This window comes from Homo sapiens, chromosome 7, assembly GCF_000001405.40.
Source record: "Homo sapiens chromosome 7, GRCh38.p14 Primary Assembly".
Taxonomy (NCBI): Eukaryota; Metazoa; Chordata; class Mammalia; order Primates; family Hominidae; genus Homo; species Homo sapiens.
The window spans coordinates 118681291-118699189 of record NC_000007.14 but is presented as its reverse complement, the minus strand read 5'-3'; the positions used below and the strand labels follow the sequence as shown (position 1 = coordinate 118699189).

Here is a 17899-nt window from a genome sequence, read left to right as displayed (position 1 = left end):
TGCCATGCCAGATGTGACATATTTGCAAAAGCAGGTAAATGTGGTCTTAGGTACATGGTAAATGGCAATGGTTAATTTGTTCTTTTCTAACCTAATTAGCAAGGAAAAACCGAAACTGTTCACATTCACATGAAATGGACAATCAAATAAGTTTACACTTTGTCACAGGGTTTTGGTAACTCTCTTGCTTTCTATAATAATATTGTCCAAAAGCATATGGAAACTCCTGACATCTTATAGAATATCACATTGATGTTTTTCATTAGTGACATATTTTTTAGCCTGAGTGATTAAGGTTGGCTTGCATGCTGAAGGCATCTATAGAGCTCAGGTGCTTCAGGATGTGAGACATAACCGTGTGTGTTTTAGGGCCTGCCACAATTACTACATTTTTATGGTTTTAGTGGCAAGGGGCTTTTATATGACATGCTTAGCAAAAACAAAACACAAATTATTTCAACTTGCACCTCCTTCCAAAGAGAACAAGGAAAACATTCAGTGGTTTTTGAGTTTTGATGTCATCATTTTACTAGGGCTACTATTTTAGCTACTAGATGAACCGAAACCTGCCATCTTTAAGTAGAACCCAGAGACAGAAAGCCATGCAGAAGGCATAAGCAAAAGACTCTATGTTGTTAGAGATATCACTAATGGAAAAACATATACCATTTATAGTTTGCAGCAAATGTCAGTGACAGAATTATAACAGAGAGCTTTTGGTCTCTGGAGCAAGGTCATTTCTTCTGCAGCATAGAATTATTTGTCCTTTGACAAATAGCTCCCGGCATGCTAACTGGGCCATGGCAGAGATGTTATGGTTCATTGTGAGACCAAGAATTTGCAGATGAAACTTGCCTTTCTGAGATGAGTCCTGTCATATTCATCAAGTGATAATACTGGAAGTGTCCAACAACAAATTATAAGATGGAAGAGTTACATGGGAAACAGAGGATGACCAAAACCAGAAGGCATAAGATGGATGCATGGGAAGGTGTCCAGGACACTATTGGTACCCATAACTTTGCACAAATATCTTTCCCTTATCTCATGGCTATACCTTAATGCAGCATACCCTGTAGCCAGATGAAAGAGGATGAAAATGCATATGCTGAGTTTATGGCTAGGTTAGCATGGCTGTGGATACAAGCTGAAATAGTTGGCAGGTATTCTATAACCTCACCTATGAATGGGTTTTTAAAACAGGCACAGGAAAATCTCTCACTGGGCAGATATTTTGGGAGAATATGTGGTCATCCACCTTGTATGGAAAGCAAAGTGGCCTAAGATTATAGTAGATATGCATTCAAGGGCAATGGTAAAGGACCTGCTTAGTAAAAAATGAATACAAAAAAATATATAAAAATAAAGCTAACTGTATATCAATCTGTGTCAACCTAATTATACAGAGAAAAGAATTATTTAAGTAAACTTTAAACATAGTAACTTGAACTATATAGTTTATAAATACAGTCTAAGGACAAAAATAAATATAAAGCAATTAATTTTACTTTTAGTAAATTTATTAACAGTACTACTTATTGTAATTCTGAAACTACATTTAGTGGGATAGGGAATACATATATATTCATAAATATTTATTTATTTGTTTATTTATGTTACTGGGAAACCTTGTGTTTTTATCAAGACTTTCTGGAGAGAGAAAACTGATAGGAGATACAGAGAGAGAGATATATACATATATATGAGAAGAGATTTATTAGAAGAATTGGCTCACTTGATTGTGAAGACAAAGAAGTCGCTTCATAGGTTTAATGCAAACTGGAGATCTAGGGATACCAGGAGCATGGCTCAATCCAAGGCCCTAGAACCAGGGAAGTTAAGGGTGTAACATTCAGTTTCAGGCTGAAGGCCCAAGAGCTCTGGGACTGCTGGCGCAAACCTGGAGTCCAAACGCTGGGGAACCTGAAGTTCTGACATGCAAGAACAGGAGAAGATAGATGTCTCAGATCCAGAAGACAGAGCAATAATTTCCCCTTCCACTGACTTTTTGTTCTACTGGAATCCTAGTTGATTGAATGGTGTCCACCCATTGAGGGTGGATCTTTCCTACTCAGTCTACTGACTCACAAGACAACTTCCTCTAGAGACAGTTTCACAGACACACCAAGGGCAACCCAGTCATTCTAACCAAAAGCAAAACACCTGGGTTTCCCTTTCAGCAGAAGAGGCATGGGGCTCAGTGCCACTGAAGCATTGAGGATAATGTAATGATTTAGAATTAATAGTGATTTATTAGCTATCAGAATATTCCTAAATTCACTCACATTGACTCGCAAAATCAACCATCACACACAGTTTTCACAATAAGAAAATACGTCTATAAACATATTATTTAAAATGTCTGAAAAACCTATAATATTACATTTGACTGTGATATATTGGCACGTTCTCATGCTATGATACAGAGATATAAATACAGATTTTTATCTCTGTTCACTGGTAGGGCTTATATGCAATGTAATCTAGTACTATCTGGTACACATATCGTTCTGCTCAAAAGACTGGGAGTTCCTTGGAGAAATGTTTGATTCTATGTCTGAAGCTGGGAAAGAAAAAAGGTAAGCTTAAGACATCTTTTGCTGGAAAGTAAAAAAGTGCCCAAGTAAAAATGAGGTCATGTCAAAAGGACATGTGCAAGTTTGAGTAGTCTCCCACTGGTCAAATTCTACAGAATCTTTTCAACAGAATGCTCCTGTGAGAATATCCCTGTAGGACTACTGATGGCAAACAAAACAAAATTAGAATCTATGGAATCTTGAAGCATGACTCCCTGGAAAAGGTCATTGAATCTCAGTAACCAACTGGATATAAAATTAAGATGTTTTAAAATCTAAACACTCTCACCAGGTGAGATGACTAATCTCTAATCCATCTCTACTCTTGGGCTAGAAGTAGGCCCATTATGAGAAAGACTTGCCTGGGGACGTTGCTAACCCTCTTTCTGCTTTCACTATAGCTTTAAAGTGATCATATCCTTGAAATTATTAGCTAAGCTTGAGACTGGTTAACAGCTCAGGTTTATGCAGGTATATGATCCTTTATGGGTCTCATAAATGATTCTGGACTTCTTCATAAATGAGAATCAAAATTATTGAATAAAAAGTTTCTTGGGAACAGGAAAGTCACAGAGATTCAAAGTATCACCTTGCATATTTCTTAGTACTTACAATGCCATGACATTCTACAAGAAAGTTGACCTAGATTTTTGAAGACAGTTAATTTGATAAATAATTTTTTTAATTTAAAAAGAACTAGAAATGATAGAGTATATAAAACACATAACAAAATAATATATTAAAACATAAGGAATACATTTCATCACTTTATTTACTCCAAAACCTTTTCACAGAGGTGGCAAGAATTCAATAAATATTTGCTGAATTTCTCTATAAGTAAGGTGGGTATCTTTTAAACCACTCAGCCTGTGGCCTTAAGTAGAGGCCAAGGAGAAAGACACAGTCAATGACTAATATTTGGATTTTGTTACAAATCACATCAGAACAATAATTCATTCTCAATAGGAAACCCAACTACAGTTAGCAAAAAATACTTGCTGTTTAGGAACTAGTAAAGGACATTGGTTTAGTACTACTAATGTAAAAAAGCTAACATTACATTGTTAAAATGATTGAATTAATTTGGTACATCACATATAACCTCTTTTTCTTATGACAACACCTTGATATAGAAGGTCATTAAAGCTTACCTGTAAAAAACTTGGAATGCCTTTTCATAATACATCAAATTTACTACAAATGTATCTGGTTAATCCCTTACAAAACTTGTCCACTATAGTAATAAATAGCCAAAAGGGAATGCAAAGTGAATTTTTTTTGATTTAATGCTTTCTCAGATTTTCTGTTTGACTCGAGTTTGTCAGAGCATCAGCTGACTGTCACTGCAGACTTTTGCTGCCTCCTCATTTTCTGTGAGAGCATGGAGCTAGCCCTTGACATCTGAAAAGTTTCACTGGGGCCACTTATTCCCCTACTCTGAATTCTTCCTGCTCAAAGCACATAGAATTCTAAGTGTCCAGTAACTTGCAATCACATAATCTTCCACTCAGAGTTCATTCTGATTGTCTCCTGACCTTGGCACCTGTCCTTAATATGGTCAACTGTGTGACCCTGTCTGAAAGCCAAATAATCCCAGGAAACTATATATTAATCACAATCCTCTGCATCATATTCCTCCTAATAGTACCTGATCAGTCCCTTAACTAGTAATTATGAAACACTTAACCTTAAAAAAACAAGGTGCATGGCAAAGACTTTACTACATCCAGGCAATTGCTAACGTATGATCTTAATATATGACCATTTACAGTGAAGATCTACAATGCTAATTTTTAAAAATATATCAAGAACTTACTACCACTTCAGATACCTTTTCAGTAACATTTAGTTTAAAAATACACCTATCCTATGACTCAAAAATTCACCCTAAAAATACTCAAAAGAAGTGAATATAGTCATCTACTGAAAGACATGTGCAAGGATGTTCATAATAACTTTATTCCTGCTTGTCCCAACAGAAAATAATCCAGTTGCCTACAACAGTAGAATGGTTGCATAAATTGTGGTATACTCATATAACTGAACATTGTGCATCAACAAAAAAGAATAATTACTGCTAAATGCAAATAGTACATGAAAGTCAGTCATACTGATGAGTGAAAAAAGCCAACACAAAGATTATTCTGTATGATTCTATTTTTAAGGGATGAAAGAATAGGCAAAACTGATCTATAATACTAGAAGTCAGAAGTCAGAAATAGTTGTTATATCTGGGGCCTATGACTGAAAAGGGGCACAGTAAAGCCTTTTAAAATGTTCGGAATTATCTAGAAAGTGATGGCATATCACATTGAGTTATATACTTTCTGCCCTTCATATTTCATATACCTTGTACCTCTGTTTAAAAAAGAAAAAAAAAACAGAAATTGCAGAAAGAACTATTATGTCAAACTGAGAATTCTTTGTTGACCAAGAAGCACTTACAATTATGTTTGCATTAAAATGTTTTAAGTACATGTTTAGTTTAATCTTTAGTAAAAGCCCATATAGATTTCAATATTGATTTTTTTAGTCTGTTATGGCTTCACAGATGTATATGCCTGGAGAAGTTCACTTTAATTTCTGGGTGATATCTGAGAAAATATGTAGAGAATGATAGAAAGAAAGAAAGAAAGAAAGAAAGAAAGAAAGAAAGAAAGAAAGAAAGAAAGAAAGAAAGAAAGAAAGAAAGAAAGAAAGAAAGGAAGGAAGGAAGGAAGGAAGGAAGGAAGGAAGGAGAGAGGGAGGGAGGAAGGAAGGAAGGAAGGAAGGAAGGAAGGAAGGAAGGAAGGAAGGAAAAACTGGTAAGTCATTGATTAAATTATATGACAATTCATCATGTGAAACTATACAATAATTTTGACAATAAGAATAGACTATTAACAACAAAGATATATTTAGGATGTTGCTTGAGCATAGAATAAAAAATGTTTAATAATTAACTCATTAAGTGATGTTTGCTTCAATGTAGTGGCATCCTTAGCCTCGGTTGAAACTCCTATTATTATCTGTTGGTAAATACTCCCTGACCTGGACCCTAAGGAAAGGCAAAACAACTTATTTCTAGAAAAACGGCTTTCTATAGTAAAGTTTTCCAAGTCCAAGTGCTGTTCTTCCATCTTAAGTGATGTTTGGTGCAAAAAAAAAACATCGTATGTGTAATGAATTCTAGACATTTTCTTGAAGAGAGCTATAGGAGACTTTGATCTATGTTCTTTTCATGGGAGATGGGAGAAGCCTACCTCTGCTTAGCTTTCTGAAACCTCTTTAGGCTTTGACTTGCATTAATGAAATGAATTCCTTCAGTGCTTATGTTGCATGTATTTTAAAAGCATGTAATAAAAATCTACTACCTAGGCTTTATGTGAGTTACTTTATTTTAAAGGCAAAGAGATCAAATCAATTACAGTCTTGTTACTGAGATCTGCAACATAAACTCTAAGAAACCTGCACATCATCACTTCTAAACTACTCCTGTGAATTTATGAATTAAGAATAAAATGATTAGGCTTCTGGTTCTGTACCAGTAAACCTGGTTTGTTTTGCATATATAATCTACTCAAAAGGCAAGAATAAGTCTTGTCAAACAAATACTTTGCATTAACTATTATTAAGAAAGAATCTAATACAATATTATTGTATGCAGATTTTATTTATCCAAACTTAGTTTTATAAAGGAAATTGATACTTTTCCTAGGTGTTCATACAGCTGTAGAATTTTCTTTCCTCTTTTCTTTCTTTCTTTTTTTTTAACTTAGTTTTCTTGCTAGAGGCAGAGATGTTTCTGGAGCAAGGCATTAAATCAAGCTGTTAGCTCTGCCCCATTATTTTATACACTTCAGGTTGCAACTGGAAACACCTACATAGAAATTTATATGGTTGCATTAAATAACTTCAAGCTCAATGTGTTTCTTCAAGGATGAACTAAATGTTCATATGCAGCTTGTACTTAATAGTCAAGCAGAAGCACACTGAAGCTACTTAAAGGGTAAGAAAGAGCTGAGACCTTCCATAGTTTTCGGTGCTCAAAATGAAAGTTTCAGTAATGACAAAAAAAAAGTCCTATTAAACACATTGCTTTTTATGGCCTAATTTTTCTGGGAGCTGTATTGATCAAAAGTATTTTGGCAGCTGAAACTGGACAACAGAATAATGTCCAAGTTCTTACATGTGGCCAAATAATAGCCTGATGTAGTAAATGAAAAACAAGACAAAGAACCCCTAGGAAAGTACATGAAATATAGTATTATAGAATATTAAATCTATTGCAGATAGCCAGTAACATTTAAGCAATATTAAAACAGAAAATATAAAGCTAAAAACTGGGAAACATTAATTCATTTCCTACTAATGCTTTCCTAAGGGACAGCTCCAGGGCCCAGTGGGGATTTATTTTTAAATATTACTTTTCCACTAAGCGACTTTGCTTCGTCCAAATTATATAAGAAAGAATACTTGGAAAAAAAAAAAGTATTTTTGAGGAAATGGAAATCTTTGCAAAGTCTTTCTGAAAATGTTCTAAACTGATACCATGATTTTAAAATGGTCTATGTATTAAAGCAATTTTAAGATATGATGTGAAGGCAACCACTTAGTATACCTGTTCTGAAATGGGTGACAGAAAGTTTCTGAGCTCATGCTGGCACTTCATTAATTCTGGAAATCCATTGTAATTGCAGAAGCCGGTAGTACAAATAAAATCTCTGTAAAGTCAGTAATATAAATAAAAGTACATCTCCTACAGTGTACAAGAGCAATTTACATCACCCAAATATTTTTAAAACATCATGGCTTACTGAATTTATGAACTCAATGCATTTATTTTGATAGGAGAGAATATCCTCATAGGGGGCCTAGAGAGAATTCTTTTATCATTGCATGTAAATGTAAATGTAGGCGATCTGTAAGATGATTTGTTGTATAAGCTTTTTCACATATTTTGAAGCTTTAACTCAAATCCCAACCCGATTTCCAAATACAGCCTTCTTTGTTGTTGCAATAATATTAAGCTCTCTGAAAATATTATAAAATGTGTTGATATTTATCTAAATTTCCATAACATCTATGCTTCAACTTCAACTCACGGAACTTACTTTCTATATAGGATTTGCAAGATCAAGCAAGCCTGAATTCAACATGATAAATTATTATTTTAAAAATCATCCTGAGTATTAACATTTTGAAATCTCTAGTCAAGGTTATTAACATATTAGTGGCAATTTAAGTTAAACTTATAGAGAACAGGCTAATAAAGTGACATGTTTAGTATTGTTATTTGTGTGGTATATATAAATTTATAAATAAACTAACGTATATAGTAGAAGAAATATTTTCACTTTGCATTTCCATGATATTAATAGAATCTTTCAAATAAAACTTCCAGCACTTTTGTACTGTTAAATACCCATTATTCATAATTTATAATAATTTGATTCAGACTGCAAAAGTTCTATTTTATGTTATTCAAGTAATGAATTCTGAGAAAAGAAAACATACAGAAAAATTGCATGGCTGTTTAGTGCATGAGACAGAATACATTATTGTGAGGATTTTAGCTTGGTTTGTTCACATGCAAACAGTACTCATTATAAGTGGTTGTTTTCATTTGCTACATCAGAAGCAAATGAATTTTAAATGCATAACATTTAGCATTTAGAATACTGCTTCCTATATGCTACGTGTTCTTAAACAAAATTACCTTTCTAAGTTCCTTAATTTGTATTATTTGTATAATTAGTACAATTTTGTTGCATATATATTTCAGTGACTCCTTTTCCTGGCTCCCCGTGAGAATCAACTAGGAAATTTTTAAACATATCAGTGTTTGCTCACCAAAGTTTCTAACTACATTGGTATAAGGCATGAGACAGGCATGGCTATTTTAAAAATAACTTCTAAGGTAATGATAATATACATGCAGGATTGAAAACTCTTGGGAACTGCGATAAATTGAATGTCCCCATATTCCACATAAAAAGTATGCATTTCTTGAAATTCTCACCATAAAACATAAACATAAAATTGAAGATAAAACTTTACTACGAGCCTCATGCTTTAGTCTTTCACTTTTAAACAAGCTATCTGTTATCAACTGCTTTTTTTTTTTTTCATTGTTTCTGCCACTTTTCTGGAATTCTGTCCGCTGCTGGTCCTGTTTCATGGCTACCATTGATATTACATGTAATATATTTAGGGAAAAAATTAAGACCTTTTGGATGTACAAGATGCAACATACTAATTTTGTCCATTGGTTACCAGACTCTTGATTTTTGTAATCAACATCAGGTCTACCTGGTGACTTTCCTTTTTACTTAGCCTTAAAAATTAAAATAAAGGGATATTTAAAGATACAATACTCAGAAATTACTATATTTGGCCTAGTATATAACAAATTGAGACAAATATACATACAGAAACATTGACTTCTATATTGTGAGTTTCAAGTTTCTGATACTGTGGATCTAGTAAATGAATGAATATTGCTTCTTAATTATGACACCTCTTCTTATTATTACCACTATTATAAAAATATAAATTCACATATATTCAGTGCCCTTTGTATAGCATTTGTTCTTATACGTAGAACATGAATTATTTAATTTATACATAATCTTCTAAACAACCATATACAAATTTACAATTATAAATAATCCAATATAAGTTGGATACTATTATTCTCATTTCTCAAAGATGAAAATTACATACAAGAAGGTAGAGTAATTTGCCTAAGTTCAATCAGCTCATAAGAGATGAGACATATTTAAAATTCACTTTGAACCAGTAGATATGGGTATATTTTTAATACTTCAGAAATTGCCCAGCGTGGTGGCTCACGCCTGTAATCCCAGCACTCACTTTGGGAGGCTGAGGCGGGGGTATCACGAGATCAGGAGATCAAGACCATCTGGCTAACACGGTGAAACTCCGTCTCTACTAAATAATACAAAAAATTAGCCGGTCGTGGTGGCCGGACGCCTGTAGTCCCAGCTACTGGGGAGGCTGAGGCAAGAGAATGGCGTGAACCTGGGAGGCGGAGCCTGCAGTGAGCCAAGTTAGCGCCACTGCGCTCCAGCCAAGGCGGCAGAGCGAGACTCCGTCTCAACAACAACAACAACAACAAAGAGATGGGACTGGAAATTGAAGCCCAACAACTGGATTCAAGGCTGAAACCCTTAGCCTACAGACTGTTATACTTCGTACTTAATGTTTGTTAGCACTTTATGTTGTGTTTCTAATACAACTATAATAAACAAGGAAACTGAGAATTAAATAACTTACTTTCCAAAGTAAAACAGTTAATAAATGACAAAGCTTAGATTTCTGCCAACATGTGAAAGACTCTAACTTCCATTGCACCTTCTACCCACCATGGTATACATTACCTTATAAATATTCATTAAAATCCCGTTAAATATATTTTCTAAGTTACAACTTTGTGAAAATAAAATCACTTTTTTAAAATGATTTATTGCTTAAGATATGCATAGTTGTCTATTCTTTGCTGTCACATGATTATGGATATGTCTTGAGAAAGACACTCGCAAGTTTAAAAATTAAGATAAAATTTGATGTAAAATATAAAGATATTAATTCATTCACTTTAAATCACAACACCCAGAAGTCATATGTTGCTGATTAAAAGTAATGGCAAAAGTGCAATTACTTTTACAATTTAATAACGTCTTTACTGAAACAAAAATGAAGGCTTAGCCTGGCATTGTGGCATACACCTGTAGTCCCAGCTATTTGGGAGGCTGAGGTGGGAGGATTGCTTGAACCTGGGAGGCAGAGGTTGCAGTGAGCCAAGATCACGCCACTGCAATCCAGCCTGGGTGACAGAGCAAGACCCTGTCTCAAAAAAACAAAAGAATGCAGGCTCATCTCAATTTCATACTAATGGTAAGATGCTGTTTTGTAGGCTTTGACATAAAATCATTTACAGTGGAAATAATTGTCTATTGTCTAGTATACCTATATACAAAAAGTTAAACTGTAGTGTTTATGTGTGCATACATGAAACTATAGTATGTTAAATTAATGATTATTTTCCAATTTGTCTTTCAAAATAAAATATTATCTACTCTTATTTGAATTACATAAACTATTGTTGTGGTGTATTGAGTTCAAATTATTATAGAACTCAACAAAACATAACGGGAATAGCATTTGGAAAAATGGTGCTACTTCCAATAAAAACACATGTCACAGCAAAACAGAACAAATTCTGATCACACAGTCAAAATAATTGTTAGAGCATTATTATTTCCACAATGCTCCTTTGGCTATTACCTCTTACTCTGCTGGGATCTGCCCTCACTCAAATCTGTCTAATTAGCAAATGGCCCTTCCTTCCACCTAGTTGCTCAAGTCAGAAACCTAGGGTCATCCTTAACTCTCATGTCTTTCAGCTCATATCACATCAATCACCATATTTTGTTGACTTTATCTCCTTTCCACTTTAAATCTTTCCCCTTCTGCCATTTCAATGTTGTTATCCTGGTATAGGCTACCACCTTCCTTTGCCTGAATTAATGGGCAATCTCTTAAAGAGTATGTCTGCCTCAAAAAGCACTCTGTTATCATTTCTTCATTATGTAGCTAGAGTGAGCTGTCCTCAATCATTTTTATGTCTCCCCTCAGTTAAAGCCATTGATTTCTCACGATTGTCAAGATAATATTAGCAACATTAGCATAGCAATGCTTTCCACATCTGTAGGTCTCAACTGTAGGTAGTGCCACTTCCCTAGACTAAATCTGGAAAAGTATAGAAGTATTTTTGCATGTCACAATGTCTAGTAGCAGAAGTGGCATCTACTATGTAGATGTCAAGGATGCTAATGATCCTGTTATGCATAGAACAACACCATAAAATGAAGAATTATCAACTTGAAAAGCCAATAGTGCTACCATTGAGAAATACCAAGGTCTTGATCATGATCACCTTTGCACCTCAGCCTCCTCTTGACATTTGCTCTATATAATCCTAATACACACACACACACACACACACACGCACACACGAACACCCCACAATCATACCACATGCAAACATAGACATACTGATCCAGCTTTTTCAGACTGTTTTAGTTCTCTAAATGTACCACGAGTATAGGTTTTCAATAACACCCTGCTTTTAGGGCTACTGTATCATTTATTATCAGCACCATTTTCTTGACTGTTTCAGGATTAGAAAACCCCTCACCACTAATGGAGTCACAGGACTCAAAACAGTACTTTTCACTGAATGAGAGCACTTAATAAATGTTTATAAGTTGAAGAAATGAATTTATTCCTTTATTTGGTGTATCAGTTTTACCTTATCCTATTAACAAAATATAGGAAACATTTTTCTAAAAAAGTAAAAGTACCAATTATAAAAAATATAAATATATAAATATGTATACATTTATATATTTTTGTTTATCTATATATCATACAAATATATTATATAAATTATTTATATATTATATATTTATATGTATTATATATTATAAATATGTATTTAAAATATATAAATATAAAATTCTAAAAAAAGTACCAATTATAGACTCAATCAGTGTTTGACCAGAGTGAATCCATGAATGTTAATGAAAATTGTTGGTTCATGTAGTTTTGATGTCTTCTTTGTAAATAAAATCAGTTTTAGTTCAATAGGTTAGGTAACTGGCAATTGAATTTTATATCTTTCAAATAATAAGTTGACAAATAAAAATTGTGTATATTTGTCATATACATGATATTTTAAAATATATGTACATTGCAGTGGAATGGCTAGAACAAACTAATTAATATATTCATTACCTCATATACTTCTCATTTTTCATGGAGTGGCCACTTAAAATCTACCATTTTAGTGATTTTAACTAATTTAATTTTATACCTATGGCATTGTGATGAAACCAAAAACTGAGAAAATAAGCACATTGCTAATGAAAAAATCACTTGTGTATTCGTGTTCAAAGCACTGAGATTAGAGTTGACTGGAAACAGAGGGAAAACACGTGGCCCCTGGTCCAATTGAGCTTAGGTTAAACTTTGATGGTAAATATATAGAATATGATAATTAATGATGAATGTAATCACCACAAAATTCAAAATAAATGTTGACAATGGGAGAAAAATTAAGACCGTAGTATGATTTCTAGGCTCATGAATGAATTTTTAAGGAGCCGTAAGTTTTGGCGTCTCCAACTCATGGTATAGAATAGAAAGAATTCCATTTTCTCTTATATATTGTCACTAGAGGTATGAATAATGGATCTAGCATATTTGTCCAAAAACAGTTTTGGTTCAAATTAAACTTGCTTCATAATCATTAGGCCAATGCATGTAACAAAATTACATCTAGGGAGTTATAGTTCAAACAGTAAGCAAACATACCAAATACTAGTATTCAGAATTCACTAACACTTAAAGTCATTAAAAAATAATTTTGGAAGCAAGTGAAATATCTTAATTCTTTAAGATTTTCAGGGCTTACAAATCAGTAGCTCTTTGTATCTATACATATATACACACAGAGAGAGAATATATAAATATATGTAGACATGGAATATATATAATAATATAGATAATTTAAAAATAGTTATTATATTTTTATTTTTTGATATTTATTATTTTTTATTGTTTTACAAGAAATTTTAGCAGAACATTCAGAGAGTACCTGTATACTTCTTTTCTTTCTCCCCAGCCACAACATACAACTTTCCCTATTATTAACATCTTACACTGATGATGGTACATTTGTTACAATTGATGAACCAATATTATTATTAAGTAAAGCCATAGTTTACATTAGGGTTTGCTCTTTGTATGGTATTGTTCTATAGGTTTTCACAATAATGTCATGTATCCACAATTACATGCACGGTCTACTCAGTATCCTACAGCATAATTTTACCACCTTTATCACTCTCTGGGCTCTATCTGTTCATCCCTTCCTCCATGCCCCTTAACCCTTGAAAACCACTAATCTTCTTACTGCCTCTGCAGTTTTCCAATTCAAGAATGTCATGTAATTGGAATCATACAGTATCCAATATTTTTAGACTGGTTTCTCTTATGTGATAATATGTGTTTAAGGATCCACTATGTCTTTTTGTGGCATGATAGCTTATTTCTTTACATGGTTGAATAATATTTCATTGTATGGCTGTAACAGTTTATCCATTCACCTATGGAAGGATATCTTGAATGTGTCCAATTTTGAACAACTATAAATAAATCCGATTTTCCTGTGTAAGGTAATTCAAAATAGTTTTGGTAGCAAACCTTGCCTCAAAGAAGTTGAGCCTAACTCCTTACTTCTTAACAGAGGACTATGTATAGTGACTTCCTTTTAAATAGTACAGTGTGGAAAAGGGAAGCAGAAAGAGTAACTTCACAGTGGAGAAAACTGACAAACTACTTCAGCCAGGTGACCAAGGTTTAATCTCAACAGTGACAGGTAATGTTTATAGTACAAACTCTTGGCATGATTTGACAAGAATGGCATCTTACCTCTAATCTTCCTCTTCCAAACCTATATCACAGTCTAATATAAGAAAAAAAATAGGCAAAATCAAATGAAAAATATTCTAAAAAATATTTGGCTGGTAGTCCTTAAAACTGTCAAGGTCATCAAAAACAAGGAAAACCTGAAAACCTATCACAATCTACAGTATCTTAAAATGACATGATGACTAAATGTAATGAGGTATTCTAGATGAGATCTACAAATATAGAAAGGATACTTAAGGTAAAAACTGTGAAATCTGAATAAAGTATGGATCCTGGCTAGTAACTGTGACATGTGTCCCATACAAATGTAAATTGTTAACAATATGGGAAACTGAGGGTGGAGTACATGAAAATCCTACACTTCCTTCCCTGCATTTCTTTAAATGTAAATATATTTGTATTAGTTATTAGGGCTGCCGGAACAAAGAACCACAGACTTTGTGGCTTAAAATAACAGAAAATAACAGAAACTTATTCTCATAGTTCCGGAGGCCAGACGTCCAGAAGCAAAATGCTGGTAGTGCTGTACTTCCTCTGAATTCTTTGGTGAAGATCCTTCTTTGCCTCTTCCAGTTTCTAGCAGAACTTGGTTTGTCACAGCATAACCCCAATCTCTGCCTCCATCTGTTCCACGGCCATTTTATCCCAGTGTGTCTTACCATCATCTTCTTCTGTAAGAGTGTGTCCAAATTTTCCTCTTAAAAGGACACCAGTCACATTGGGTTAGGACCCACTCCAATGGCACCATCTTAACTAATTATAGTACATCTGCAATAACTCTATTTCCACATAAAGTCATATTCTGAGGTTTGAAAAATTAGGACCTCAACATATTGTTTTGGGGGACATACTCTAACACATAACCCTACTCTAAAATAAAATGTTCATTTTTTAAAAACTGAATTTTCCTCTCTAAATATATAAAATAACTCTCACATTTTCCTCTAGTACTTTCTTTGGTTTTGCTTCCTACATCTAGGAGTACGATATAAAGTATGACATACCCATATTGTTTTCCAGTTTTCCTTACAGTTGTCCAAATCCTTTATAATCAGTATCCACTGCATTCCTTGGTGGTGGTTGCTGAGGTGAGGTGGGGGAGAATGAAGAATTTGGTTATGATATGTAAGTTAAATGTGCTGCTGATTTCACTTCTCAGATATTTAAATTTTTAGACTTTATATGTATAAATGAGAGTAAGTAAGCTACTTAGCATTTCATTTGATTCCTCCTATGAGATTTACTGACTTTCTATTGTGCTACTCATTAGTCTCTGTTTCATTTGTATCATTTTCTTCAGCCTTTGTTTTTGTTTGTTGTGCTTTTTTTAATGCCATACCATATACTTAATTAATATACTTCATTAATTTTTATGTATCTATTTTTTAAGATACAATTTTGTTCCTTTTAGGTCTATTTCTTTGCCACATATTCTGCTATTTTTATATCCTCTATTCCAAAATATTTTATGAAATAATACTGATTATGCAGAAGTGTGAGCTTTTCATTTTCTATTTTATTATTTCTTTTTAATTAATCATAAAACATACTTTAAGAATTGAGCTTGTCTTTTTTAAAGTATATGTAGAGAGGAGGTACATTAACATGGTTTGGCTGTGTCCTCACCTAAATGTCTTGAATTGTAGTTCCTATAATCCACACATGTCATGGGAGGGACCCAGTGGGAGGTAATTCAATCATGAGGGCAGTTACCCCCATGCTGCTATTCTCCTGATAGTGACTGAGTTCTCGTGAGATCTGATGATTTTGTAAGTGGCTTTTCCCCCTTTGGCTCAGCACTTCTCCTTGCTGCAGCCATATGAAGAAGGACGTGTTTGCTTCCCCTTCTGCCATGATTGTAAGCTTCCTGAGGCCTCCCCAGCCATCCTGAACTGTGAGTCAATTAAAACTCTTTCCTTTATAAGTATCCAGTCTCAGGTATGTCTTTATTGGCAGCATGAGAACAGACTACTACATACATTTTCTATACTCAGGGTAGAGACTCAGTGCATACAAATAGTTCTACCACTTTAATTATTTTATTAAGTCTTCTCTTCCCCAAACCTTGTTCTTGATCTTTGGATGATTCCCTTTTCCAGGAGAATAGCAAAGTGGCTATCAGCACCTGGAACTGATGGAGCAACCAACCATGGAACACTAGGTGCCCATTGAGCCAGAACTTGGGCTGTGGCCAAAACAGCTCAACGTAGGCTGTGTTTTATCAGAAACACCAAGCCATGTATTCGAATGAGAACAACAAAATATCCATTTATTCTAAGATTAACATGATACATCTGAAATAAAACACTAGAAAGATAAAAGATCACAAAAATACAAAATAAGCAGGTAGCCCTCCCTCACAACCAATCACTTACTGTCATTGCACTCTCCTTCAGTTCACCGCTATGCTCAAATGGTGGGTCTCTTTCTTTCTCTGAAACTGGGGGAAAAGGCTTCAGGTTGTTTCATGAGTGGGTCATCTCAGCATGAGGGTGCGAGCTGGAAACATGATAATTTCACATCTGCTGTATTCAGAGTTGCCCTAGAAGAAATGTTGAAGCCAAATTCTCCCAAAGCAGTGCAGCTGTTAAAACTCTCATGGAAAGAATTAAGTTCCAATTCCTGGAGAGAGGATTATTCAATTATTTAAGGATATATATTAAAACAACTACCGTAAATAATCACTATTTGGGCAAAGATATTTTGAGGCTATGCATATATCCTGTTTCACTTTAAGGAATCTACCACTAATTCTAGCATTCCTCAGTGAATATTGCCTGCAATAAATATTACGATAATATTCTAATAGTTATTTCCTATTTTCCTTATTCCTTCTGTACTTATTAATTGGAATCACTCTGTAATGTACAATGTTCCCTCCTCCCATGAATTTATTCATTCAATCATTATATCACTATAAACTAAGTATTCATTTTACTTAAGGTATTTCAATCAATAGTCTCAGTTTTTGTTTTGTTGCACAAATTCTTCTGACTTTGATGATTGAAGCTATTTACGGTTCATTCCTGTGTTCTTTTCATAAGCCTTCTAGGTTTTTTGTTTTTGTTTGGTTTGTTTATTCCTCCTTTTTCTTTCTGGCAACACAAAATGCTCTAAGACTCATTTTACACTTTTTTTTTTTTTGGCACCAGGTCTAGATGCAGGTATTTCTTCAAAAAGCCCTAGCTTCTTTGGTTGGAGAAGGATGTTTTGAAATTAAGATTCAGTTGCCAGGTGTGCCCCTTGCTATGGAGGTGTCAGTTTTGAGGCCCTGTCAGCTGAGAGAATTAGGACATATATATATATATATATATACACTAATCCATTTATACACACATATCTATACTTATTACTTAGCTCTCTACCTGGAATGCATTAACAGAAATATGAGTTCACACTCTCTGATTCCAGTCCAGCAACACAGAGTTCACTGTAGCATTAACCTCTCTTTATTTCTCAGACAGACACCTGGCTCTCATTATCAATAATACATTTATATTTATGTCCAAAGCTAGAATACAGGTAAAGTAGTTGCAGAATTGCAAATCAATACCCTTGTGAGACATAAATTTACCAACTGGAATACAGTGTTTGTTTACAGTTCTTTTTTATTTTAGTCTTAGATTATATGGTTAAAACACAGTTTTACAAAGTTTTTTTAGTGCCTTCATTATCAGATCCAACACCTTTAATATTCAGATACAGTTGTTACAGTCTGTATTTCATCTTGGATTTCCTTAAATTGTGGTTGATTTTTCAATACTGTTGATAGTAAAATTTACTTTTGCAGTTTATATTTTTGTTTTAACAGATGCATAGAACTG

At 33.8% G+C, this 17899-nt stretch overlaps 1 annotated feature.

Annotated features, from left to right (window-relative positions):
• Nucleotides 14608-14808: a silencer, noted in NCBI's record as "peak6701 fragment used in MPRA reporter construct". NCBI's record gives its function as "represses an SCP1 promoter by STARR-seq MPRAs in K562 erythroleukemia cells {active_cell/tissue: K562}" and the evidence as "EXISTENCE:reporter gene assay evidence [ECO:0000049][PMID:32103011]".